The 27,526-nt window shown below is 34.5% G+C and overlaps 1 protein-coding gene across 64 annotated transcripts in view; it reads left to right on the forward strand.

Annotated features, from left to right (window-relative positions):
* The window catches only part of RIMS2 (regulating synaptic membrane exocytosis 2), a 755,485-nt gene that overhangs the window by 311,204 nt on the left and 416,755 nt on the right, over positions 1–27,526 (forward strand). For 17 of the 64 annotated variants that reach the window (NR_145711.2, NM_001348507.2, NM_001348504.2 and 14 more), the window contains exon 1: positions 7,407–7,816. The exons of the other annotated variants lie outside the window; for them this stretch is intronic. Coding sequence is in view for 16 of the 17 variants with exons in the window: in NM_001348507.2 (NP_001335436.1) it covers positions 7,695–7,816 (122 nt within the window). In the remaining variant the exon portion in view is untranslated. Of the gene's footprint in view, positions 1–7,406; positions 7,817–27,526 lie in introns of those variants that run through there. 64 annotated transcript variants of the gene reach the window in all.

The raw sequence follows: 27,526 nt of genomic DNA on the forward strand, positions 1-27,526 counted from the left end.
CTAGTAATACTTTTGAGAATAATGCCACTCAAACCAAAGCACAGTAGGATTAGCCCTTACACTTCTGGCTTAGAAAGAAGAGTGAGAGAGATCACAATTATGGTGTGGCTTCACACATTTGTGGTGGCTTCCACCATGCTTTCCCTTTCTTTTTTGAATTAGATGCCATAAACTGTTGTGTTATTAGTCTGTTCTGCAGCAATGGTCAGAATTATGGATAGATACAGGGTTTCAGTCCCTAAGAAATGCTATAAAATGTTTTTGTACATCAGAAAACAGCATGTTTTTTTTCAGCTGGCCATCAACAAATTTTTAAAACTTATGAAAACTGATGTAACAATTCTGAACTGTTTTCTGATTTTTATCTCAAATTTTGTGAGTAGAAATGTACTCGTCATCTTTAGATTTGTAGTGTGCTTATTTAGCTCCAGGCTGTTCTTCCTTTCTTCCATTCCTGAATGTATTGTATGGTTCATCCTAAGTTGAAGCATAGGTCAAATTATTACCTTATTACCTTGTTTTTTTTTTTTTTTTTTTTTTTGTTGTTGTTTTTGAGACAGAGTTTCACCCTTGTCCCCCAGGCTTGAGTGCAATGGCACGATCTTGGCTCACTGTGCAATCCCCGCACACTGTGCGATCTTGGTATATACCTCCGCCTCTTGGGTTCAAGCGATTCTCCTGCCTCAGCTTCCCGAGTAGCTGGGATTACAGGCGCGTACCACTACACCTGGCTAATTTTTGTATTTTTAGTAGAGGCGAGGTTTCATCATGTTGGCCAGGCTGGTCTCAAACTCCTGACCTCAGGTGATCTGCCTGCCTTGGCCTCCCAAAGTGTTGTGATAACAGGCATTAGCCACCATGCCAGGCCCAAATTACCTTTTTTGAATGCCTTCTTCTTCCTCCTTTTGTTAGGAATTCCATCATCTGCCTTTTATTTTTTGCTTATATGTTATCCCTGAGGTGAATTGTTCTATGATCCGTGCCTCAGGGAAATATAGAATACTTTACAACAGAGTACTTTAATTTGCAAAATACATGAAGATACTATTTTCAAAATGTTTGTTCTCTGGACTGTCTTTCTTATAGCCTTTAGATTTTTATCAGTCGGATGCTTCAAGTAGTCAGTAGAACAAGAATAATGCAATGGAAGAGAGAATGCAGTTGTTTCAATTATATAGATGGGACTACAGATATAAATTTTAAGAAAAGGAAGAATTCCTTTAGCATTTCAGGGATTTTTGTTATAGATGATACATATTGTGTATCTTATGATTTTAATGATTCATTAGCTTTGTTTAGTTATATGTTTATTTTCATGTATGGAATATTTTAATAGAAATGCTTTGGTACTCTTAAAAATGAAAACTAAACCTAGCCTGTAAAATCTAAGTATGTCATGAATTATCATGGCTTATCAGGTTAGAGGCTTGTGTTGTTATTAATTCAGACGAGCATAACTTTCCAATTTTGATTCTTTCATTTAATTTTTGAGTTTGTGTTAATTTTCTTAAGACATTTAGCTTAGCCACTAGGCATTTATAAACCAAGGTTCTTAAATAATTTTAAGAATTTACACTTCTTTCTTTCTTTCTTTCTTTCTTTATTATACTTTAAGTTCTAGGGTACATGTGCACAACGTGCAGGTTTGTTACACATGTATACATGTGCCATGTTGGTGTGCTGCACCCATTAACTCGTCATTTACATTAGGTGTATCTCCTAATGCTATCTCTCCCGCCTCTCCCACCCCACGACAGGCCCCAGTGTGTGATGTTCCCCCACCCTGTGTCCAAGTGCTCTCGTTGTTCAAGTCCCATCTATGAGTGGGAGCATGCAGTGTTTGGTTTTCTGTCCTTGCAATAGTTTGCTGAGAATGATGGTTTCCAGCTTCATCCATGTCCCTACAAAGGACATGAACTCATCCTTTTTTATGGCTGCATAGTATTCCATGGTGTATATGTGCCATATTTTCTTAATCCAGTCTATCATTGTTGGACAGTTGGGTTGGTTCCAGGTCTTTGCTATTGTGAATAGTGCCGCAATAAATATATGTGTGCATGTGTCTTTATAGCAGCATGATTTATAATCCTTTGGGTGTATACCCAGTAATGGGATAAAAAAAGAAACATGCACTCGTATGTTCATTGCAGCACTACTAACAATAGTAAAGACATTGCATCAATCTAAATGCCCATCAATGGTAGACTGCATAAAAAAATGTGGTAAATATACGCCATGGAATACTATGCGCCATAAAAAAGAACAAGATTATGTTTTTTTGCAGGGACATGGATGGAGCTAGAGGTCATTATTCATAGCAAACTGATACAGGAACAGAAAACCAAATACTATATGTTCTCACTTATAAATGGGAGCTACATGATGAGAACACGTGGACACATAGAGGGGAACAACAGACACTGTGGCCCATTGGAGGGTGGAGGATAGGAGGAGGGAGAGGTACAGGAGTAATAACTAATAAGTACTATGCGTGATATCTGGATGATGAAATAATCTGTACAACTGTTTGAAAACCTCCATGACACAAATTTACCTATGTAACATACCTGCACATGTACCCCTAAACTTAAAATAAAAGTTAAAAAAACTAAAAAAAAAAAACTTAAAAAGAAAGAATTTACACTTCAAAAATTTTTGAGGATGATGTAAAGAAGTTAGTGCTGAGTTTTGGTTGCTCTTGTCATTTGGATGTTTCATAGTACTAATTAAACAATTTGAATTATTACAGAATTTTAGGAATTACTGTTTAAGAAGGAGAAGTCAGGCACAGTGGCCCACACCTGTAATCCTAGCACTTTGGGAGGCTGAGGAGGGAGGATTGATTGAGGCCAGGAGTTCAAGACTAGCCTGGGAAACATAGTGAGACCCCCTCCATCTCTACAAGAAAATCAAAAATTATTCAGGCATGATGGTGCACACCTATAGTCCTAGCTACATGGGAGGCTGAAGTGAGAGGATCAGTTGAACCCAGGAGTTCGGAGTTACACCTGGGTGACAGAGCAAGATTCTGTCTCAAAATATCTATATCTATACTGATATAGAAGGGGAGAAACCATTGCTAATGATATAGCTAATCACATGAAAACTAATAATCTACTATTTTATTTACTTGAGCATTGCTAAAGAAAAGTTCATGGGCCAACATTATACTTAATATGTGATGGTTAAAGATTGTTATAATTTTAGAGTTCTCCACTGTTTGAAAATTAAATTTTGAGCTTTACTTGTGGCTAGTGTATCAAAAAGTATAAATGGAAAAAATTTGTCATGTTCTTACCCAGAGATAATCAATATTATCATTTTGGTTTGTATTGTTCCAGTGTGCTCTCAGATTTTGAACATTTAAAAACCTGAGATATACTACTAAATATTTCTCAAAATGTTGTACCAATGTACACTCCTACCAATAAACATGGTATGAGACTGTGCGTTTTTTGATCCTCTGGTCAATATTTTGCCAATTTAATAGGCAAAATACATTATCTTATTATTTTTATTTGCATTCTTTTGATTACTTTTAGATTGAACTTATTCAAGTGTTGATTAGTTTTTTAGATATTTTCTGTCACGAAATTGCCTTTGCTTCCAAAAGTTCCTTAACACTTCTTCTGTTAGAACTCTTATTATCACTGTCATTTCCAGTGAGACTCTAAAGATTCTAATAGAACATAAATAGAGAAACCAATTGCCATCATCTATACCATTTGTAATAGTTAATGTCTCTCTGCTGGACTCAATGTAAATATGGAGCTGATCTTGCTTGGAAGTTCTTTTGAGTTTATCTAATTTTTCTGGAAAAGGATAATCATAAGCCCTACATCCTATCAGCACTAACAGATAGAAGGATAGAGACTTGGACAAAGAAAATATAAATATTTGTCAAATGAATAAGCATGATAAATAAAAGATACATGAACATAATTGTTAGAATTCAGGTACCAGTAATTTGATTCCTTAAATAGTTCATACTGAGTTTACTTCCAAACACTGTATACTTTATAATTTATAAAATGCATTGGTACACATGAGATTTTAATACAGTAATTTCCCTATGAGGTGATATAGCTTATTTTACATTTGGTAAAACCATAGCTCAGATACATAAAGTAAATATGCTGAGGTAATACAGCTAGTTTGGGTTGGAGTCAGTACTTAAAACCAGGCTGCCCGATGCCAAATACCATGTTCTTTCTGTTCTGACAGAAGTCTCCAATATTTATGTTACATGTGAACCTGCACTATATTGAAAATTTAAAACACACGTTATCTATAAACATTCTTTATAATATTCAGGATATCCATAACAAATTACAGAGTCCATTCAAAGCACAATGTTTTTGATTGCAAATATTGGTTACTCTTGTATTTATGACCCTTATAGAAGATGATGTGGCAGGCTAAAAATAAACAAGCAAAAAAATAAATAAATAAAATAAACACTGTAGAAACTGAGAACCAGATGAAGTCCTGTGGCGGTTTCCTATCCTGTCTATGTAAGTGATTGAAAAAGAATTAACTTTTTGATAACATGTAGGCATCCATTTATTCAACAAATGTTTAATGAACCGCCTACCCTGTACTAGGCACTATGCTAGATGAATGAGACAAGAATGCAGGACTTAACCTCATGGAATTGAGGGTGAAAGATATTAAACATTTTTTCAAGTAAATATATGGTCACATATATCAAATGTTGTGAAGAATAAGCACAGGGTATAATGAGAATGTATAATAGGGGACCTAATTTAGGTCAGACAAAGTCTTTCTAAAGGAGGGACATTTGAAACCTTAAGGATGAGTAGGGGCAGGTGAAAGGGTGGTAATGGAGAGGGAAGGTGGAAGAGATCATTTCTGGGATACTGAGGGAACTAGAAGAAAGCTGCTCACTAGCATGGGTGTAGTATAGTGAGAGCTGGAAAAATAAGTCTCTGAGGAAGGCAGTTGATGTATCGTTGACTCTTTCAAATGAGTCATTTTTAAGTCTCATTCTAGTGTTTCCATTACTTAGACCACTTCGATGCTTTTTCTATGACTTAGTCTTCATATCCAATTTTGAAATATAAAAGAAACCTTTTTAACAGTAAATGTTGATTTGCAGTATAATCACCTTCTTACTTAGTAGACTTGTTTCTAAAGGGGTTCTGATTATTTATAAAAATTAAATCTATTTAAAAGGGGAAAATTTACATTTTTTCCCCTCACAGATAGTATGAGCTGTGAAATTGACTTGAAAATAAGAAATTTAAAAATGTTTGTTTACACTTGTAGAAATTGACCTTTCAAAGGTGTGAAAAATCAACTCATAATCAGAGGCTTAAAAATTAAAGCACCTCAGGTTGCTTCTGCTTGAGGTAAATGGAAGAAGCCCATTTAAAGTTACTTGCGAGTTAAAACATTTGAGATATTTGCTCTAACTAAAATACCCTTGATTAGGCCACTGGCAGGTAGTTTTCCTATTCATCTATTGAAATTGGCCATTTTACAATAGGTGTGCATTTGTGTGTGTGTGTGCATGTGCACATGTATGCACATATGTAAAAAAATAGAATCACAGGGAAGGAACATAGAAAATGGAGTCCAAAGCAAAGACAAAAGCAACAGGAAAATCAAAATATTTTTTCTATCTTTTATAAATTGTGTGATGTTTAATTCAATACAGCTTCAGGCCAGGCGCAGTGGCTCACGCCTGTAATCCCAGCACTTTGGGAGGCCAAGCTGGGTGGATCACTTGCGGTCAGGAGTTTGAGACCAGCCTGGCCAGTATGGTGAAACCCTGTCTCCACTAAAAATACAAAATTAGCTGGGCGTGGTGGCACACTCCTGTAATCCCAGCTACTCAGGAGGCTGAGGCAGAATTGCTTGAACCTGGGAGGCAGACGTTGCAGTGAGCACCACTACACTTCAGCCTGGGTGACAATGAGTGAGACTCTGTCTCCAAAAAAATAAATAATTAATTAATTTAAAAATAAATAAATAAAGCATCAGTTTCTTTTCATCCATAAAATGATGGTGGCATTAGCACATACAGTGTTTTCTGGATATTAAAAAATAAATTTAGAAGTGCTTTATAAACTAAAAATACTTTATGATTTTTAGGTATGTATGTGTGTTTGACAAATAGATTGGTGTATACCTATGAAAATCTGAAATAATAAATAATAGTGAAATAATAAAATAAAATAATAAACTGAAATAAAATGGGGGCACTCTTAGTTGAGAAGAAACCCATAATTGAACATCTTATTTTAAAAAATGGTTGTTTAAAAATTTATATTATTACATGTTTAATTTGTGTTGTTCTTTTGTGACATGATTATGCCAAAAAAGAATTCATAGCTTTTAAAAACTTAATGTATTTAAATGTCTATTTACTGATAGTGTATGGAAAGGGATAAAAGGGCAAAGAGTTAAGGTCAAAAGGGCAAAAAGGGCTGGATTTATTAAAGAAATGTCAAAGGTTAAGAGCTATTAAAAGTCAATGAAAATACTAAGCATCTCTGCAAGTGAGTTAATATTTAAAATTTGGTTTACACACTAGTTTTAGAGATCTGTTATGGAAAGATGGATGTACTTGGGTATAGAATAACCTAAATGTTTATCAGAAACAGAATTATTCACTGAGAATAGATGATGATGGGGTGGCTTTCCAAGACCATAGGAGCCTTCAGGAAACATTTTCTTCTACAAAATGCTATGACCACCATTATTGAAATAAATTAGTAATAATTGATAAAGTGTCTCTGGCCTTGACTGTAGGGTTTTTCCCCCACCTGGATTTGGAGGGAAGTTTTAATTTAATGTGTGGTGTTTAGGTGAATTTTAATTGAAAAGCTATAATGTTTTTCTAAAATTATGTGAATAACCATGTAGTCACTATGTATATAGCCTTTAGAAAGGACCAGATTCAACATTATCCACTTTTCTTTAAAAATAAATAAATGGAGAAATTTTAAAATAAGAAATTAAAACACCTAAGTACATGTTTTCCAAATGTACTTCTCTTAGAAATATGGCATTTTAAATGCAGATGATAAATGCTCTATTGTTGATCATATTTTTATTGCTTCATGACATCAAAAGAAGAATATACCACTTATTTTTAGAGTGTTCTGGTCCTTTGCAGCATCTTGCACATTGAAGAGATATATGCTGTTGCTGGAGTTGTTTTTCAGGAAAAGAGAAAAGGGTTGGGGAAATGCATAATTTCTCTTACTCTTACCCAGTAGTAGCATTGAGAAGATACCTTGTCCCCATTTTTATTACTTCTGATATTTTATTGCTGGCAGCCAGATGTGCTAAAACTCCTGACGACAGCATCTATTCATTGCATGTTTTTAATAGGCTTAGAGAAATATGAGTAGAGTACATGAAAGCAGCTCAGCTTCACACTTCAGCTGGGAATGCCCAAAAAGCTTACTGCTGTTTAGAATTCTTGCTACAGTCAGGAGAAAGCCGAAAGCTGCACGGGTACTGAATCTTCTACGACTGAATTAGAAGAATAATGACTGTACAATTAACTATCAACCTCTGTTCATTTAAGCACAGTTTTTACAGAGCTCAGGAGAAATATGGAACTTGATTGGCGTGTTTTTATTTGATGGTGTCAGCAAATAGATGATTTTAAAGACAGGTGGTAGGGAAAAATAAGAGAAGGGGAAAAAAAAAGAAAGAAAATGCAATTTGAGACATTGCGCCAGGTCTGCAATTCTGTTTTATCTCATTTTCATGGGGTTTTTTCATCCCCACCAAATATCTTACAAAATGAGCTTTTTGGACAAACACTGAACAATGCAAGGTGAGTAGAGCCAAACTATATTTTCTTTTAATATTGTTATTTTCAGAATAATCTTATATGCCAGTAAAAATTGTTTTGTATTGAAGTGCTAGTGTTATAAAGGTGTTATCTGTTTACTGTAAATATAAAATTTTATATAGCATTCTTAATTTGATTTTAAGAAGGAAAATAAGCTTACTTCAACCAGAAAAAGCATCTTAAATTTAACTAGCTTGACCTCTGAAACGTAATACAGATATCAGGCTGTTTCATTATTTTGTTTTCTAGATACATAAAATGACTTAAAAATGCCCGATAGATGTTTTCTTTGTGATCATGGCAGTGATTACATTGCATATATAAGGATGGGGCTATATAATCATATGTGATTTGTTTGAAAATGTGAATTAGCTCCTGTAAAACATGTGGAAGATGTTTTCTAGGTTTAAGACATTTCTCTATGCTGGGTAGCTCAATAATCACTTTTAAACAAGATATATTGTGGAACCGCGAATAATGCTTTGCATTAGGTCAGCTAATTTGGCAGGATTCTTTGTTATAAATTCCTATTGCTTTTTCAACCTGATCATTTTTCTATGGTGAAGGCTGTTAAATTATGAACATATCTCTCAGATGGTTTCTCTGGCTTACACTAAAAGATATTCTATTAAAGAATGTTTTTGGAATGCAGTTTTATCATCCAGTTCTTTCCTCATTTAAGTTGTTTGGCTTTTGAGAATTTCTCATGTTACATGCTTAGTAAAAAAAAGACCCCATTTAACTAAATATATGTGGAGAAGACTGAGAAAGAAATTCTGTGAACATGGCAATGCACTGAAACCTTCTGGAAACCGATGGGGAACTAATAGTGCATAAAATATTGAGTGGTTTTACTTGTCTCTTCTTCTTAGTATCTCTGAACAATGTGAGGCATCCTATTTTGGAGATTAAAAAAATACCGGTTATACAATATGTATTTTAATTTAGCAAATGAAAAAAAGGCTTTTAAAATTTGTTGGCATTTAAAATGTTTACTGATGATAAATATATTTATAACCTTTACTTTGAAAATGGGATAACATATCTATTTCTTATAAAATTTCACTTTCTTTCCTCAATCCAGTTCTGTTCAATAAACTAATTGGATTTTGTTTATATTTTATCTTGAGACAAATTAAAAACATCAAACAGTATATGAAATGTTAGGATATTCTAAATTGGATATCTGTATTTTAAGATGCTGTTTTCCTTTTTTAAAGTGATACATCACTTTAGTGTCTATAATTTATCATAAAAATATATATTTTATGTTATATTTAAATTAAAAAGCAAGTATTGCTTTCTAAAAATTTCCATGACCTGAAGCTACCAGAGTTTTAGGATTTGTACTCATCCTTTATAAACCTTTTCCTTGTTTTAGTTCCATCTTTTTTTTTAATGCCAAGAATTTGTGTGTAAATGTATTAATATTAGGGTTTAGGTATAGAAATTATGCTATTAACAGCATAGTAAGGAATTGGTTTTAAAGTATTAATTTAAAAATCTGAAAATAACTATTTTTTGAGGGAATTGTGTGCATCCCTATCACTGTGTACTTGCTTTGGCTTCAAGTTTCTTTTATTGTTGGCATGCCTATAATTTCAGTAAGAGCCTTTAAAGCTCTCATTAAAATCTGGACTTTTATGCTGCTGCTCTTAAACATAAGATTATGAAGTTTTTAATGCTTCTATACGACCAGTATGGTTTAACTTATATTGATTATTATCTAAAACTATCCCAAACTACCAATTACTCGATAAGTAATTTATCTTGCTTTAGGGGAAAAAAATCTCGGCCTTTATATGTTCTTATTAGTCTTTAAAAATCATTTGCCCTTATACCACAAATACATCTATGCATCTTCATAAATGTCCCATCAGCTACTTGATTTACTTTTAAGGTCAATCAAAAAGTTCTGCAAATAGTTATTGTTTTAGAAGTATGATGAGTGAAAAAATAAGTATATGAATTTTATGCTTCCACATATTTTAATTTTTTGGTTATTTTTTGTGTTCACTTTAGATACAAGGGTCTTTTAAACCTTTTATTCTGCTTATATTCTTTTAAACAATATAAATGCCTATGCATCCTGCATAGGTATTAACATTTTAATTAACACTAAAGTGGAAAGTAAAGACTTTCCACTTTAGTATAGACTAAAAAATTATTCTTGAAGAAAAAAATCATGGAAGAAGAATGGCCTGAATATGTCATCAAAAGATCTCATATGCAAGAATTTAGATTTTTTTTCTGAATAATGGACCTTTCAATTAGACATCTGTGATCTTCTTAAGCATCAATTATATAACTATCACCTCTGGAAAGAACAGTTTTGGTTATTAGTACATGAATAGTAATCATTTAATTGTTTGGACTAGTTGACATGGAATATTCAATATTTGTATTGTGACATTAACAATGATCTTTAAATTGATAGAAAAAAGCCATCAATTTGGACAATTAGATATTTTATTCTGAATTGCTTTCTAGTAGGGATTACTAGAATAGTACTATGCATCATTTGTAGACAATGTATTATTAAAAGGGGGCCTTTTCAAGTAGTTTTTAAACTAAGACTTTTGTTCGGTAGCTAATCTTATCCCCAAATCTGCAACTCAACTTTCATTAGGATTTTAGATGGTGAGGCAGTTGACTTCTATGACATATTAGCAATAAAACATTAAATGATGAAAATCTTCCATAACAACTGCTCCAGAAACATTTCCAAGTTCAACTTGTTAAAGGAGGAAAGATTTTTAAACCAACCAATAATACTGTATGTGTCATAAGTCCCCAAAGTGGAGATTAATATAGATTCTTAAGTGAATTAATTAACTAATGATTAAATGAAATTTATCTATGAGTAATAATTATTAAAATATTTTAGACTAACTTTTTGTTGGAAACCATATAGCACAAACCTTATTTTCATACTGAAAGTGTTTAGCTTATTCTCTTATTGTATGGTTCTTGAGTACCATTTTAGTGCATGAAGCAGGATTCTCTGTTCTTTTACAGCTAAAATGAAACAACTGGACGTCTAGCAAAAAGAAAACATGTGTCTGCATCCTGCATAAACTCACTTGACTCACTTGATAGGTTTTGATGAAATGCCACTTTAGTTTAATTTTTTGTTATCAAGTTTTCTCATTGTAAACTCTCTCTCAAGTGAAATTATTTAATCAGGACACAAAGATAAATGCTTTTGTCATTAGTAAAAAAATCAAGTACTGAGTTCAATATGAAATCTAATTTTTGTGAGCTTGTCTTTGGAAGCAAACATAAATATTGAGACGCTAGAAGATATATTTTTTAGCATTGTTCACTGCATTGAGTTATCAGTTGCTTTGGGCAATATTCAAATAAACATGCTAATGATGGCTATCTTTTGTGATAAAATTGATCCTCTGAGTTTTTCCATTTGCTAATTTTTAGCCGTCTTTTTTATACAACGAAGAGATCTGTATTTTCCTCTAGATGAAATTATTTTTTTGCCACTGAATGTGTGACAGTGAATTTGCTGTGACTTCTGGCCACACAGAGGCATAATAAAACTGGAATTTATTTAGAGTAGATATTAAAAACAGTCTTTCTCTCCGTATACGTACAATGAGATATGTAGACTTTCATATTTAAAAGTAAGAAAAGAAAAAATATTAGTAGACAGAAGAATATTTGGATTTTTTTTCAATTGCAAGTAAGATAACCATACGATCCACTTTGTCTGGAGTACTCCCAGTTTATGCCTGCAGTCATCCAGTGATTATTATTAGTACTATTCTCTCTAAAAAGTGTTGTGATTTGAAAATAAATTACAGGGCTACTCTAATTATAAAAGTGAAATGTAAAGCTTAAATTCACTTAGTTTAAGCGGATTCTTTTCCTTTGAAACATTGCCACTGTTCTAAAACATTAATATTTTAAGTAAAATCTGACTTGCTAAATAAATGTTTATTTAGTATTATTTTTGGTCAGAAATTCTTAGTTTTTCCTGTAGCATTTATTATTGCTTTGGTTTGTAATCAAACCAGTAATTTGTGTTCAGGAATTTTGGCACAGATAATGATTCTTCATCATGGTACGTTAATGACTACTTTGACATTGAAAGAACAGCATGCTTACTTTTCATAGTTCTCAGGGTGCAATCTACACAGTGTGCATTGTTTGGACTTGGTATGATTCCAGCACAGTTGATTTTTCATATTGCATGAAAAGTCTGTGTTATGAGGTATAAAGCATCCAATCATCTAATATACACATTTTATGTACATATATATATACTTTATTGAACATGCATAATTGTTATTATAAAATATTTTTATAACTATAACATTATTCATTATAGGCATAAAAGCTTATAACACAATTAATTATCTATTTAGATTTCTAATCAAAATGGCTTTTGATTTAGATATGTGTGTCATTAGTATTTTCACTAGAATATTTACTGTGGACCTTAGCAATATACTACAATTATTAGTATATGTCCTTAATCTGACACTGATCTACAGTCTTTAAGCATTTTCTTTATTGAAAGAAGTTTTATAAAGCTTCTGCTTTTGGTGATGACTGACAGGTAAATGTTAACTATAGTTTTAAATTATCAACTTCTGTATGATCATAAAGGATTTTAAAAGTTGAAAATAATTACTAGTAAACTTCTTTAATTCTGGCACTACTCACTAAATAGTAAAATGAATTCATTTCATATGGGCTATAGGCTTTCTTCCTATCCATGTATGAATTACTCACAAAAAATTCATGGCCCCAACAAAAGAATTCCTAGGACTCATCCACAATTTTAGTTTTGCTTTCAAATTTGAGAAATTGTAAGTATTTTAGAAAAATGTGTGAACATTTCTTATAGGGAAAAATGGAAAAACCCATTGCACGTTAAAAATTATAGTATCTTAAAATATGAGGGCTCTTTATTTTGCCTAGTGTGTTTTAAACTATGCTTTCTGTTTTGGGCAGAGAACGCTTTCAAGGTCTAACTCAATATGCAAAGCAGATAGAAGTAGAGCAGCTCTGGTATAGAAAGTGGGACATGGGACCCATGTTTGGTTCTAAGAAACACATTTGGAGACTTTTTTATTCTACTGCTGTCATTTTACTCTTGAACAAACTAACGTCCAGCTGCTTACTTAAACTCAGGACTTACGGTTACTCATATGGCTTTAAACTTTTCATTTCATCATAAGTCCTTTGAAATGTGAGACGTAGAGTTAATGGAAAATGATAAGGAAAACTGCTGCATTTAAGTAAGGATTTATTTGTGCCTGACTTTTCTGCTACACATTGTAGCTTTATGTTGGGTAGTATTGAACATAGAAGTCGTGCTCATATCTAGGGTCTGCTGCTTACTGGCTATGTGTTACTGGTAAAGTTGCTGTCCTATGAGCTCCTTGAATTAGGGGCTACATATTTATTAATCTCTGAATTCCCACAGTTATATTCTTCACACTCCTTCCCAGTCAATACCCACTCCCCTCAGCCTCCAGAACCAACTGTTGTACTGCTTCCCCACCTAGTGTAGATTAGTTTTGCTTGTTCTAAAACTTCACATAATGAAATTTTATAGAAGGTAATCTTTTTTTGATAAGGCATTTTACTCAGCATAATTTTATTTATTTGTTTGTTTTTATTTTTATTTTTTGATGTTGTCTCTCTCTGTCACCCAGGCTGGAGTGCAGTGGCGTGATCTCGGCTCATTACAACCTCCCCCAAGCTCAAGTGATCCTCCCACTTCAGCCTTCTGAGAAGCTAGGACCACAGGCATGTGCCACAATGGCTAGCTAATTTTTTTTTTTTTTTTTTGTTAGAGATGGGGTTTCGCCATGTTGTCCAGGCTGGTCTCAAGCTCCTGAGCTCAGGCGATCCACCTGCCTCACCTTCCAAAGTGCAGGGATTACAGACATGAGCCACTGCTCCCGGCCTACTCAACATAGTTTTAAAACATTCATCCATATTGTGGCATGTGTGAGTAGTTTTTTCCTGTTCATTGCTGAATAATATTTCTTTTTATGAATATGAATATACCATACTTTCACGTAAGTCTTTTTGTGGCCATATATTTTTATTTCTTTTAGGTAAATAACTAAAAGAGAAATTTGTGGATCATAGCGTGGGTGTATGTTTAATTTTATAATGCCACATCATTTTTAAAAGCACATTTAAATGATACTTATCTACAGTTTTTAAGTATTTTCTTTATTGAAAGAAGTTTTAAACTCCCACCAACAATGATTGAAGATTTTGGTGATGCCATATGCTTTCCAACATTTGGTGATATAGGTTTTTAATTTTTGTCATTCTGGTAAGTTTATAGTGGCATCCTCTTATGATAATTTTATTATATTTGCCTCATGACTAACAACTACAAGAACTTTTTCATACTGTTGTTGGCTATTTGTGTATCCTCCTTTGTAAAGTGTCCAATATTTTTTAAATTAGGTTGTGTTTTTATTAAATTCGCTAGTAAGTGAATTTATATATATAAAATGTATGTTTTCTCCCATTCTGTGGTTTGCCTGTTTATTTTCTTAACAATGCCTTTTGATGAGTAGAAGTTTTAATTCTGATAAAATGTAATTTACTAATTGTCTTCCATTGTGGTTTTTATTTTCTGTTTGCACTCTAAAAATCCTTGTTAACCCCTAAGTCAGGCAACTATCTTTTTTTTTTTCCTTCCAGAAGCTTGAGTTTTAGCTTTTTGGTTCACATATATGATCCATCATAAATTAATTTTTGTGTATATAGTGTGAGGTAGGGGTCAAGATTAATATTTTTTCCATTTGGTTATCCAGTTATTTCATTACCATTTGCTGAAAAGGCTTAAAGGTTTCTATTCTTCATTGGATGGATTTATCACATTTGTAGAAAATTGAATAGTTGTATAAGCATGGTTCTATTTCTGATCTGTGCAATATGCCAGTCTTACTTTATAGTAATTTTGATGTCAGGCAGTGTAAATCCTCCACCTTTGTTCTTTTTGTCCAATAGGTTATATAGTCCAGGTCTTCTGCATATATATATTTCAAATATATATATATGTATATATTATATACATATATATACTCTCTGTCACCCAGTGGTGTGATCATAGCTGACTACAGCCTCCAACTCCTGGACTCAAGTGATCCTTCTTCCTCAGCCTCCCAGTAGCTAGAACTATTTTTGTAGAGTTTTGTAGAGACAAAACTTTTTTTTTTTTGTCTTGCTATATTGTCTAGGATGTTCTGGAACTCCTGGCTTCAGGCTATCTGCTATACTTCTGCCTTGGCCTCCCGAAGCACTGGGATTACAGGCATGAGCCACTATGCCCAGCCTCATATATTTTTTATAATCACTTTGTTAATTTTGATTTGAAAAGTTTGCTGGGATTAAATCTCGGATTGCGATGTATTTTTGTAGATTGATTTGGGAAGAAATAACATCTTAACATTGAGTCTTCCAGTGGTGTATCTCTTCATTTATTTAGGTCTCCTTAAATTTATCCAAACAGTGTTTTATAGTTTTTAGAGTAGAGATCTTGTATGACTTTGTGAAAATTTCCGTAAGTATTTTAAGTTTTTTATCTCATTATAAATGGAATTCTTTTAAAAACTTCAATATCGAGTTGTTTGCTGCTAGTATATTAAAATCTAACTTATTTTTAATATTAACCTTTTATCTTTTAACCTTTTCAAATTCACTTACTAGTTCTAATAGTTGCTTTGTAGATTTGTTATGCTATTCTGTGTAAGCAATCATGTCATTTGCAGAGACAGTTTTATTTCTTTTCCAGTATTTATGCTTTTTATTTCTTTTTATTGCCTTATTATAATGCATAAAACCAACAGTATGTCAAACAGAAGTTGTGAGAGTCTCTTTGTTAAATAATAGTTTTTAAAAAATAATCACGAATGGGTTGGGCGCAGTGGCTCACGCCTGTGATCCCAGCACTTTGAGAGGCTGAGGCAGGCAGATCACGAGGTCAGGAGTTTGAGTCCAGCCTGACCAACATGGTGAAACTCTGTTTCTACTAAAAATACAAGAATTAGCTGGGCGTGGCCGTGTGTGTCTGTAATCCCTGCTACTCAAGAGGTTGAGGCAGGAGAATCGCTTGAACCCGGGAGGCAGAGGTTGCAGTGAGCTGAGATCGTGCCACTGTACTCCACCAGCCTGGGTGACAAGAGCGAGACTTTATCTCAAAAAATAAAAAAAAGAAGGTGCAACGGTAGATAACTAACCAGATAGAAGACACTCCATCTCAAAAAAAAAAAGGTGTGCATTTTGTGAAGTGCTTTTTCTTCAGTAATTGAAATTATTTTGTAATTCTTATTCCTGATTCCATAATAATGCTAATTTTATTAGTTTAGCTTTTGAATATTAAACCAACTTTGCATTTCTGGGTTAAATACCACCTCATGGGATACTTACAATTTTATATATTGCTGGTGTAGATTTTCTGTGATTTTGATAAGGTTTTTTTTGCATCTATGTTCATGAGAGATTTTAGTTTTCTTAAGTTGAAATGTCTATGACAGGTTTGGGCATTAGGGTTATTCTGACCTCATGAAATGAGTTTGGCATTTACTTTTTCTCTATTGGATGAACAGTTGGTATCAAGATTGGTGTTATTTATCCCTTAAATATTTGATAGAATTCACCAGCAGAACCATCCGGACTTAAAGTTTTCTCTGTGTGAAAATCTTGATAAAGTATTCAATTTCTTTGGCTACATGTATGTCTTCTTTTGAGATGTGTCTGCTTATGTGCTTTGCCTATGTTTTAATGGGGTTTTGGGTTTTTGCTTGTTAATTTGTTTAAGTTCCTTATAGATTCTGGATATTAGACCTTTGTCAAATACATAGTTTATAAATATTTTCTCCCATTCTGTAGGTGTCTGTTGATAATTTCTTTTGCTGTGCAGTGGCTCTTTAGTTTAATTAGGTCCCACTTGTCAATTTTTGGTTTTGTTGCAATTGCTTTTGGAGCCTTTATGTCATGAAACCTTTGTCAGGTCCTAGTCTAGAATGGTATTTCCTATTTTTTTTTTATAGTCTTGGGTTTTACATTTACGTCTTTAATCCATCTTAAGTTGATTTTTGTAGGTGGTGAAAGGAAGGGGTCCAGATTCAATCTTCTGCATATGGCTAGCCAGTTATATCAGCATTATTTATTGAATAAGGAGTCCCCTTTCCCCATTGCTTTCTTTGTCAACTTTGTTGAAGATCAGATGGTTGTAGTTGTGTGGCTTTACTTCTGGGTTCTGTAATCTGTTCTGTTGGACTTTATATCTATTTTTGTACCAGTACCATGTTGTTTGGTTTACTGTAGTCTTGTAGTATAGTTCAAAGTTGGATACTGTGATGGTGCCTCTAGCTTTGTTCTTTTTGCTAAGGATTGCTTTGGCTATTTGGGCTCTTTTTTGGTTCTATGTGAATTTAATAATAGGTTTTTTTTTTTTTTTTTGCTAATTTGGTGCAAAATACTGTTGGTAGTTTAAAAAATGTTCAATAGCTCTAATCATTAGAGAAATGCAAAGCAAAACCAGAATGAGATACCATCTCACACCAGTCAGAATGGCTATTATTAAAAAGTCAACAATAGCAGATGCTGGCAAGGTTGTGAAGAAAAGAGAATGTTTATACACTGTTGTTGGGAACATAAATTTGTTGAGCCACTGTGGAAAGCAGTTTGGAGATTTCTCAACCCAGCAATCCCATTACTGGGTATATACCCAAAGGAATATAATTGTTCTACCATAAAGGCACCTGCATGCATATGTTAATTGCAGCACTATTCGCAATAGAAAAAGCATAGAATCAACGTAGATGTCCATCAATAATGGACTGGATGAAGAAAATATACACATACATCATGAAATATACAGCCATAGAAAGTATGACATTATCTCCTTTGCAGCAACATAGATCGAGTTGGAGGCCATTATCCTAACCAATTTGATGCAGGAACACAAAACCAAATACTGCATGTTCTCACTTACAAGTGGGAGCTAAGCTTGAATACACATGGACACAAAGAAGGGAAGATTAGACACTGGGGCCTACTTGAGGATGGAGGGTAGGAGGAGAGTGAGCATGGAAAAACTACCTATCAGGTACTATGCTCATTACATGGGTGATGAAATAGTCTACATGCCAGATCCCCAAGTTTACTCATGTAACAAACCTGCACATGTACCCCCAAACCTAAAATAAAAATTGGAAAGAGAAAGATAATAACACTATGATGATGAAAAATAATACAAATTTTAAGAAGAATTCAATTTCTTTAAGATAAATAGGATTGATGAGGTTTTATGTTCAATCTTTCTCAATATGGTCAGTTATGTTTTTCAGTAAATTTAATATTTTTATTTAAGTTGACTAATTTGTTGTTATAAATTTCATATTTCTTTATTATCTTGTTAATATCTATGGATCTAATAGTGATGACTCTTATTTTATTCTGATATTGTTATTTTGTGATGTGTGATCTTTCTCTCATTTGCCTATTAGTTTACCTAGGAGTGTATCATCTTTTTCTTTTGATTTTGTTACTTTTCTCTCGTTTGTCTACCATTTCAATGATTACTGTTCCTGTCTTAATTACTCCTTTTCTTCTACTTATTATGGATTTAATTTCCTCTTCTTTTTAAAGCTTTGGAAGGTGGAACTGTATGATTTCTTCTGATTCATTGATTATTTTAAAGTGTGGTCATTTCTAAACATTTAATTTAAAAATAAAATATCTTATTATTTTTTATGATGACATTTTATTCTGGTGAGAGAAATATCTTATTATTTTTTATGATGACATTTTATTCTAGTGAGAGAACATACCTGTATAATCTCAATCAGTTTAAATTTATTAGGATTTGTTCTACTGCCCACTGTGAGGACTATCTTGAACATTCCACATGTATTTGAAAGGAATGTGTATTCTGTACTTGCTGGATGTTGTGGTCTATAAATGTCAATTATGTCATGATGTTTAATAGTGTTGTTCAGATCTTCTGTCTCAGTGATTTTTTATCCTATTTTTTCTCTCAATTGCTGAGAGACGTGTTAAAAATTTTAACTGTGATTATAGAATTTATTGTCTTTTTAATTCTGTCAGCTTTTGCTCTATGTGCCTTAAAGCTCTGTTACTGGATATCTACACGTTTGTGATATTTATGTTTTCTTTTCTTGAGACAAGGTCTTGCTCTGTTGCTCAGGCTGCAGTGCAGTAGTGCAGCCTTGGCTCACCACAGCCTCATCTTCCCATGCTCAAGCAATCCTCCCACCTCAGCCTCCTGAGTAGCTGGGTCTCAGGTGCAAGCCACCGCACCTGGCTAATTTTGTTTGTTTTTTGTAGAGATGAGGTCTCACTGTGTTTCCCAGTCTGGTCTCGAACTCCTGAGCTCAAGTGATCTTCCTGCCTTGGCCTCCCAAAGTACTGGGATTACAGGCATCAGCCATCGTGCCTGGATTATGTTTTCTTGATTAATTGACATTATAGGAAAAGCTTTGTGAAATGTTTCTCTTTTCCTTGGTATTACTGTTTGTGTATAAGTCTTATTAATATTAATGTTTTTTGTACTTGTTCTGTGTTTATTCTTGGTTTACAGCATTTACTCCCCCTTCCAAATATGAATAGTCAATGATTTTTTAAAAGACACATACCAAAGTAAAGAGAAAAGGGGTGAGAAGCCTCATCTTTGACCTGAAAGAGGGCTTTTCTTTTCTTTCTGCGTGGCTAATAACACACAGTGTCAGGAAACACTCATTGGAGAAAAACCAGTCTCAGAGTGACTCGAGGTCAGTGGTCCTTTCTACTTGTGTAACTGAATAGTCCAAGCCAGACGCTAGGCTTCACTGAGCACTGACCTCGGCCAATTGGCCTTCTCTGGACACAGAGGAGCTCCAGAGAATTTTCACACCTTACTTTGCTTCCTTTGCTTTTTGCTTTCATAATGATATGAAATCTAATTTTTGTGAGCTTGTCTTTGGTAGTTAATAGTATTAACTACCATTTTGGGGGCATCTATTCTGGGCTTTGTCCTTTACATTAATTGCCATTTTTTTCTTTTCAAACCCTGCAAGGTGGTATTACAAGCTTCATTATACCATTAAGGAAAGTGAGGCTCAGGCAGAGTCCTGACCAGTGATTATTCTTTTGCTGAAATGGAAAACCCAACTAAAAATGGCTTAAGGAAAAAGAGTATTTATCAGTTCACATAACTGAAAACAGAACAAAACAAAACTGATAGTACTAGTTTCAGCCTCAGCTGGATCTGTGTGCTCACAAAGAGCCTCAGAGTCCTGTTTTTGTCTCATGGGTCTAACCCTTAGTTGAAGGTGCTCAGGGAGATCACTAGGATAGCTCAGCACCCTATGTCTTTTCCTTTTTTTGTCTCAATAGTGAAAAATGCTCCTGTTACAAAAACATCTTATTTGATATTAATATAACCATGTGTGCAAATACTGTTTCTCTAGTGTGTCTTTTTGTAGTCATTTACTTTCAATATATCTGTGGCTTTAATATAAAATGTATCTTTTATCACTTTAAGAGCATAATTGGCTCTTACTTTTTTCATCAACTTTGACAATTTTTGCCTTTTACATAGAGTATTTAGTTCATTAACATTTAATATAATTATTGATATATTTGAATTTAGGCATTTGTTTTATGGGTTTTCTTCTACTTTTGTTTCTTCCTGCCATATTTTTTGAATTACATGAATACATTGTGGAACTCAATTTTTTTTAACTTTTATTTTAAGTTCAGGGGTGCATGTGCAGATTTGTTACATAGGTAAACTTATGTCATGGGGGTTTGTTGTACAGATTATTTCATCAACTGGGTATTAAGCCTAGTACTCATTAGTTATTTTTTCTGATCCTCTCCCTTCTCCTCCCACCCTCCACCCTCCAAAAGGCCCCAGTTTGTGTTGTTCGCCTCTATGTGTCCATGTGTTCTCATCATTTAGCTCCCACTTTTAAGTGAGAACATGAGTATTTGGTTTTCTGTTCCTGTATTAATTTGCTAAGGATAATGGCTTCCAGCTCATACATGTCCCTGCAATAGACATGATCTCATTCTTTTTTTATGGCTGCAATTTTTAATTTATCTATTTGCTTATTAGCTACATCTATTCTTTACCATTAGTTCTTATTGGTTGCACTTTCACAATCTATTTACAATCATTCACAATCTATTTAGTGTTTATATTGTGCAAATTTTATGTGAAATGCTTTAAGCAGTCTTATGTATTTTAAACAAATCAAGAGAAATGAGTAGTCTTTTACATTTATTCACATATTCCTTGTTTTAAGTTTCTGTTCTGAAGATCCAGATTTCCATCTGATAGACTTTTTCTTCAGCCTGGAGAACACCCTGTAATATTACTTGAAATGCAGATATTCACATCTCCATTTGTATTTACCTGAAAAAATCTTTTCTTAGTCTTCATTCTTTGTGAATATTTTTGGTGGAAATAGAATTCTATGTTGACACTCTTTTTTGTTTGTTTGTTTTTAAATTTACGTTTCTGTAGTTTAAACTGGCCTTCATAGATTTTTGATGAGAAGTAAATGGTTCGTGATGACAAGTCGTTGGCACTTGATTGTCTTTCTGTATTTAATTTGTTTTCTTTGGTTTCCTTCAAAAATTTATCTTTATCTTCTGTGTATAATAGTCTTGTTATGTTATGCTTACATGTGTGTTTTTATTGGATTTATTTTGCTTGGGTTGGCTGTGCTTTGTATGTGTATAAATTTATGTTCTTTTTTAAACCAAATTTTAATTTTTAACTTAATTTAATAAGTTCGGCCATTGTTGTAGCATTTATTCTACCCTATTTTCTATTTTTCTTTTGATTTCTCAGTTATTTGTATTTCAGACTTTTTATAGATTATCCCATCGGTTCTTGGAATTTTTTCAACTTTTTTTGTGTTCTTTAGATTAATTTTAAATTTTATTGATTTTATTTCTTTCAGAATCTCTTATCAGAGGTAAAGCTCATCTAGTGAATTATTAATTTCCAATATTTTATATTTTGTTCTAAAATTTCCATTTATTTTTTATAGCCACTATATCTCTGTTGAGATATCCTATCTTTTTACTCATTTTGAGAATCTTACCTTTATTTCCTCAAACATAGTTGTTATAGTGGCTTTAAAATCTTTTTCTGCTAATTTTAACATCTGGGTTTGTTATCTCACAGTCTTCATTGATTGCTTTTTCTCTTGAGTATGGATCTTGTTTTCCTATTTCCTGATATATCAGGTAAGTTTGAAGTGTATTTTGGACATGACTAATAATGCTTTATAGTCTCTGAAATTAGTTTGTCCCTCTGAAGAATGCTGATGTTTGTTTGTTCATTTATTTATTTATTTATTTATTTTTTGAGACAGAGTCTTACTCTGTTGCCCAGGTTGAAGTGCAGTCTGGTGATCAGAGTTTACTGCAGCCTCAACCCTCTGGGCTCAAGTGATCATCCCGCCTCAGCTTTCTGAGTAGCTGGAACTACAGGCATGCATCATTTTTTTAAAAAATTTTTTGTAGAGACAGGGTTGATTGTTTTTATTTGAGCTTTAGCTATTAACCCTGTTTCCCTTGAGATGACAGTAGCTTAAAATATAATTTAATTGTTTTAATTTTATCTGAGCTTTTATTTTTTGTAAATTAAAAATCTTTTCTTTTTTCTTTTTCTTTTTTTTTTTTTTTTTTTAAGAAATGGGAGTCTCATTTTGTCACCTAGGCTGGAGTGCTGTGGCACAATTATTGCTCACTGCAGCTTCAAACTCCTGGGTTGAAGGAATCCTCCTGCCACGGCCTCCCAAAGTACTGGGATTGTAGGGGGCATGCCACTGTGCTCAGAAGAGCTCCTTGAAGTCTTCTTATGTATGCATGAGATTTTGGCAGTGTTTTTAATACACATAATTTTATTTTTCCTTTCTTTAGCTTTTTTTTTGTCATATCTCCCTCACTTTCCAGTCTGTTTTTGCTCGAACTCCTTCCTCAGGTTTTTCAAGCCAGCAAGCCTCTGAGGTCTTTTTCTTTCTTTCTTTCTTTCTTTCTTTCTTTCTTTCTTTCTTTCTTTCTTTCTTTCTTTCTTTCTTTCTCTCTCTTTCTTTTTCTCTCTCTCTTTCTGTCTTTCTTTCTTTCTTTCGAGACAGGGTCTCACTGTATCACTCAGACTGGACTGCAGTGGCGCTGTCTCGGCTTACTGCCACCTGCTCCAGGCTCAAGCAATCCTCTCACCTCAACCTCCTGAGTAGCTGGGACTACAGGCATGCGCCATCCTGCCCAGCTAATTTTTGTATTTTTTGTAGAGACAGGTTATCGCCATGTTGTCCAGGCGGGTCTTGAACTCCTGGACTCAAGCGATCTGCCCACCTCAGCTTCCCAAAGTGCTGGGATTACAGGCATGAGCCCACTGCATCTGGCCAAGACTGAGTTTTCTTTTTTTCTTTTCTTTTCTTTTTTTTTTTTTTTTGAGACAGAGTCTCACTCTGTTGCCCAAGCTGGAGTGCAGTGGCGCGATCTCAGCTCACTGCACCCTCCACCTCCCGGGTTCAAGGGATTCTCCTGCCTCAGCCTCCCGAGTAGCTGGGACTACAGGCACGTGCCACCAGGCCCATCTAATTTTTTGTCTTTTTAGTAGAGACAGGGTTTCACTATGCTGGCCGGGCTTGTCTTGAACTCCTGACCTTGTGATCTGCCTGACTCAGCCTCCCAAAGTGCCGGGATTACAGGCATGAGCCACCGTGCCTGGCCAAGACTGGGTTTTCTAACATATATTTAGCCTTCAGGCATTGATTGAATTTGGTTAAAATCATAAAAATGAGAAATTCACTTGGTGTCATCTTCCTCGAAGAATCAGTTGGTCTCCAGTATCTTTTGTCTTTTTGTTATTGAGGGCCTCAAATAGTTGTATGTTCATACTTTGTCCAGGATTTATACTTACCATCTCTGCAAGGTTAGCTTGAGTGGAGCTGGCTGGCCATTATCAAAAAAAGGAATCTGTTCTTTTATATTTTAAGTTGTATTGATCCTATACTTGCTGGTAGGAATTATATATGTAGCTTCTTCTGTAATCTTCACTTTCATTCTTTATAATTTATTGTGTATTCTAAATATAATTGGTTAGCCTGTTGTCCAGTGGCTGATTTGGAACTGTATGTCCTAATTAAATAATCACTGTATTATCAGAGTATATTGAGAATATATAACTTTTCAATATTCTTTCTTTACTACTTTACTTCATCTAGATTCTAATGACTATTGGTAATGACAAAACATGAGCAAGATGTGCAAGGCTTTCTTCACAGAAAATGCAAGATTGGTATGACTGATCTAATTTTAAAAGAAAACTTCTGATCAGATAAAATAAAGAGACAAAAGCTATCATACTTTTTCTTTACCTTCTAACTGGGTGGGCATCTATTACAAAGACAATTTACAGAGGGAATTTTTAAAGGAAATTTGATTTAGGGTTGTAGTGAGAATGAGTAGGTTAAAGATGAAATTAATTGATCAATTGATTCTTCAACTCGTGTCCGTCACAGTATAAGAAATGAAAAGTGTGTGCTGAAGAATTTTATGATAATTATTTATAATCATGGCTGATCTTTTAAATTAATAAGTTTTCAAGCTGGGCATGGTGTTTGTAACCCCACCCCTTTGGGAAACCCGGGCAGCAGGATCCTTGAGGCTAGGAGTTTGAGACCAGCCTGGGCAATATCGTGAGATCCCCTTCTTTACAAAAACAAGGAAAGAAAGAAAAAAAATAGCCAGTCATGGTGTTGCACACCTGTCATCCCAGCTGCTTGGGAGGCGGATGCAGGAGGATCATTGAGCCCAAGAGTTGAACGCTGCAGTGAGCCATGACATGTTTGCACCACTGCACTTTAGCTTGAGTGGCAGACTGAGACCCCATCTCTAAATAAATAAATAAATAAATAAAATTTCCTATGCCAATGTATTTTTTTGCAGTAAGTTTCTCAACAATAATTTTTTGGGTCTTTCTGAGTTATATCTTAATTTTGGAACAAAACATGATGAACATAAAAATAGGACACACTACCTTTTCTAGAGAAGTTGAACAGCTTGTTATAAAAACTATTTGCACAAAATGTAAATCTGATGATGAAAATACACATAGAGAAATGTGTGCTTTAAAAACTATTACCATATTTCCCATGAAACACACACAGCTAAGGACATTCTTATTTGTATTTTTTAGTGTTGGCATTGCAACAAATGTATAGATGAGCAGTTTCAATGAAAAGTGGTACCACAGTTTGATAGTACAGTGCAAAGATTATATGGAATTGTTCACCTGCATGAGCATATGAATCTTTTAATTTTCTCTACGTATTTTTTATGACGGTTAATACAAAGAAGATTCATTACTTTATAAAATGCTTAATGCAAATACACTATATGTTAGTTGTCTATTGTTGTCTAATAAATTACCATAGCTTAGTGGGTTAAAACACTCCACCTATTTACTGTCTTGCAGTTCTATAGGTCAGAAGTCCAGGTGGGCTTGTTTGAGTTCTCTGCTTAGGGTCTCACAAGGTTGAAATCAAGGTGTGGACTAGCATTGGCACTTATCTGAAAGCTCTTGGGAAGAACGTACTTCCAGACAATTCAGATTGCTGCCAGAACCCAGTTCTTCGCAGTTATGCACTGATGTCACTGTTACCTTATTGGCTTTTAGCTGGGGACAGCTCTCAGCTTCTAGAGGATTTTTTTAAATTATATTTTAAGTTTTAGGGTACATGTGCACAACGTGCAGGTTAGTTACATATGTATACATGTGCCATGTTGGTGTGCTGCACCCATTAACTCGTCATTTAACACTAGGTATATCTCCTAATGCTATCCCTCCCCCCTCAACAGACCCCAGTGTGTGATGTTCCCCTTCCTGTGTCCATGTGTTCTCATTGTTCAATTCCCACCTATGAGTGAGAACATGCGGTGTTTGGTTTTTTGTCCTTGCGATAGTTTGCTGAGAATGATGGTTTCCAGCTTCATCCATGTTCCTACAAAGGACATGAACTCATCCTTTTTTATGGCTGCATAGTATTCCATGGTGTATATGTGCCACATTTTCTTAATCCAGTCTATCATTGTTGGACATTTGGGTTGGTTCCAAGTCTTTGCTATTGTGAATAGTGCCTCAATAAACATACGTGTGCATGTGTCTTTATAGCAGCATGATTTATAATCCTTTGGGTATATACCCAGTAATGGGATTCTTAATGTTACTTGCCTCATAGTGCCCCGCATTTTCTTTTTCTTTCTTTCTCTTTTTTTTTTTTTTTTTCTGAGACAGTGTCTCCCTCCCAGGATCCAGCCAGGCTGGAGTGCAGTGGCAGGATCTCCACTTACTGCAGCTTTGACCTCCCTGGCTCAAGTGATTCTACCGCCTCAGGCCCCCCAGTAGCTGGGACTATAGGTACAAGCCATCATGCCTGGCTAATTTTTGTAGTTTTGTAGAAGTAGGGTTTCACCATGTTGCCCAGGCTGGTCTCAAACTGCTGAGCTCAAGAGATCCACCCACCTCTGCCTTCCAGAGTGCTGAGATTACAGGCATGAGCCACTGTGCCAGATCTTGTTCCCTCCATTTTCAAAGCCAGCAATAGCATATCAAATCCTTCACCTGCTTGGAATCCTTCTCACTTCCTTTTCTGCTAGCAAGGTTTAAACCACATGTAAGCAAAAGTCATTAGAAATTGTGATTTAGAATTAATACAGCTGTTTTCTTGAGGTACGTGACCCTACAGCATTATAGCAAAAGGAGAAGCCAAAGAAAATAGGCCCAATTTTAAAGTAATATTTCCTGCCTCTTAGCATAATTTATTTTCCATATTGGTTTCAACAAGGCTAAACTATTAGGTAGCTTTTGTTTTCATCATGTGATTTGTGAGAGCACAGATACCAATCTCAACATCTCTCACTCTATTATCTAATAACGTCAGAGTGTCTACCATTCTATTACTTCTCAAAAGTTACGAATATTTTGGATAAGCAGAAGGTGTAGGATAGGACACCTCTGATTTTATTCCATTCTACTGTTAATCATGTGCAGTATATTCTACGCTTCTATTATTGCGTGTTTCACTTCAGAATTGCCATTTATTAAAGTTCCTGGCCGGACTCGGTGGCTCACGCCTGTAATCCCAGCACTTTGGGAGGCCGAGGCGGGCAGATCACGAGGTCAGGAGATTGAGACCATCCTGGCTAACACGGTGAAACCCCGTCTCTACTAAAAATACAAAAAATTAGCCGGGCGTGGTGGCGGGCACCTGTAGTCCCAGCTACTGGGGAGGCTGAGGCAAGAGAACGGCGTGAACCCGGGAGGTGGAGCTTGCAGTGAGCCAAGATCGCGCCACTGCACTCCAGCCCGTGCGACAGGGCGACACTCCGTCTCAAAAAAAAAGGCCTATTAATCTGCTGAAATTCCCCCATCAGTTTTCCTACTTTATCCACTTTTCCACGAAATCCTTTTACATATTCATTGTGTTATTTTAAAGCTCTTCTCTGCTAGTTGCAACATTCTGGTCATCTGTAGGACTGTTTCTAATGTTTCTATTGACTTTTTGTTCTCATTGTTATGGATTCATTTTCTTGCTTCTTTGGATGCCTTGTAACATTGTCTTGCAGGGTAAACACCTAAATGATGTATTGTAGAATTTTTATATTATG

The sequence above is a fragment of the Homo sapiens genome, chromosome 8 (genome assembly GCF_000001405.40).
Source record: "Homo sapiens chromosome 8, GRCh38.p14 Primary Assembly".
In the NCBI taxonomy this organism is placed as follows: Eukaryota; Metazoa; Chordata; class Mammalia; order Primates; family Hominidae; genus Homo; species Homo sapiens.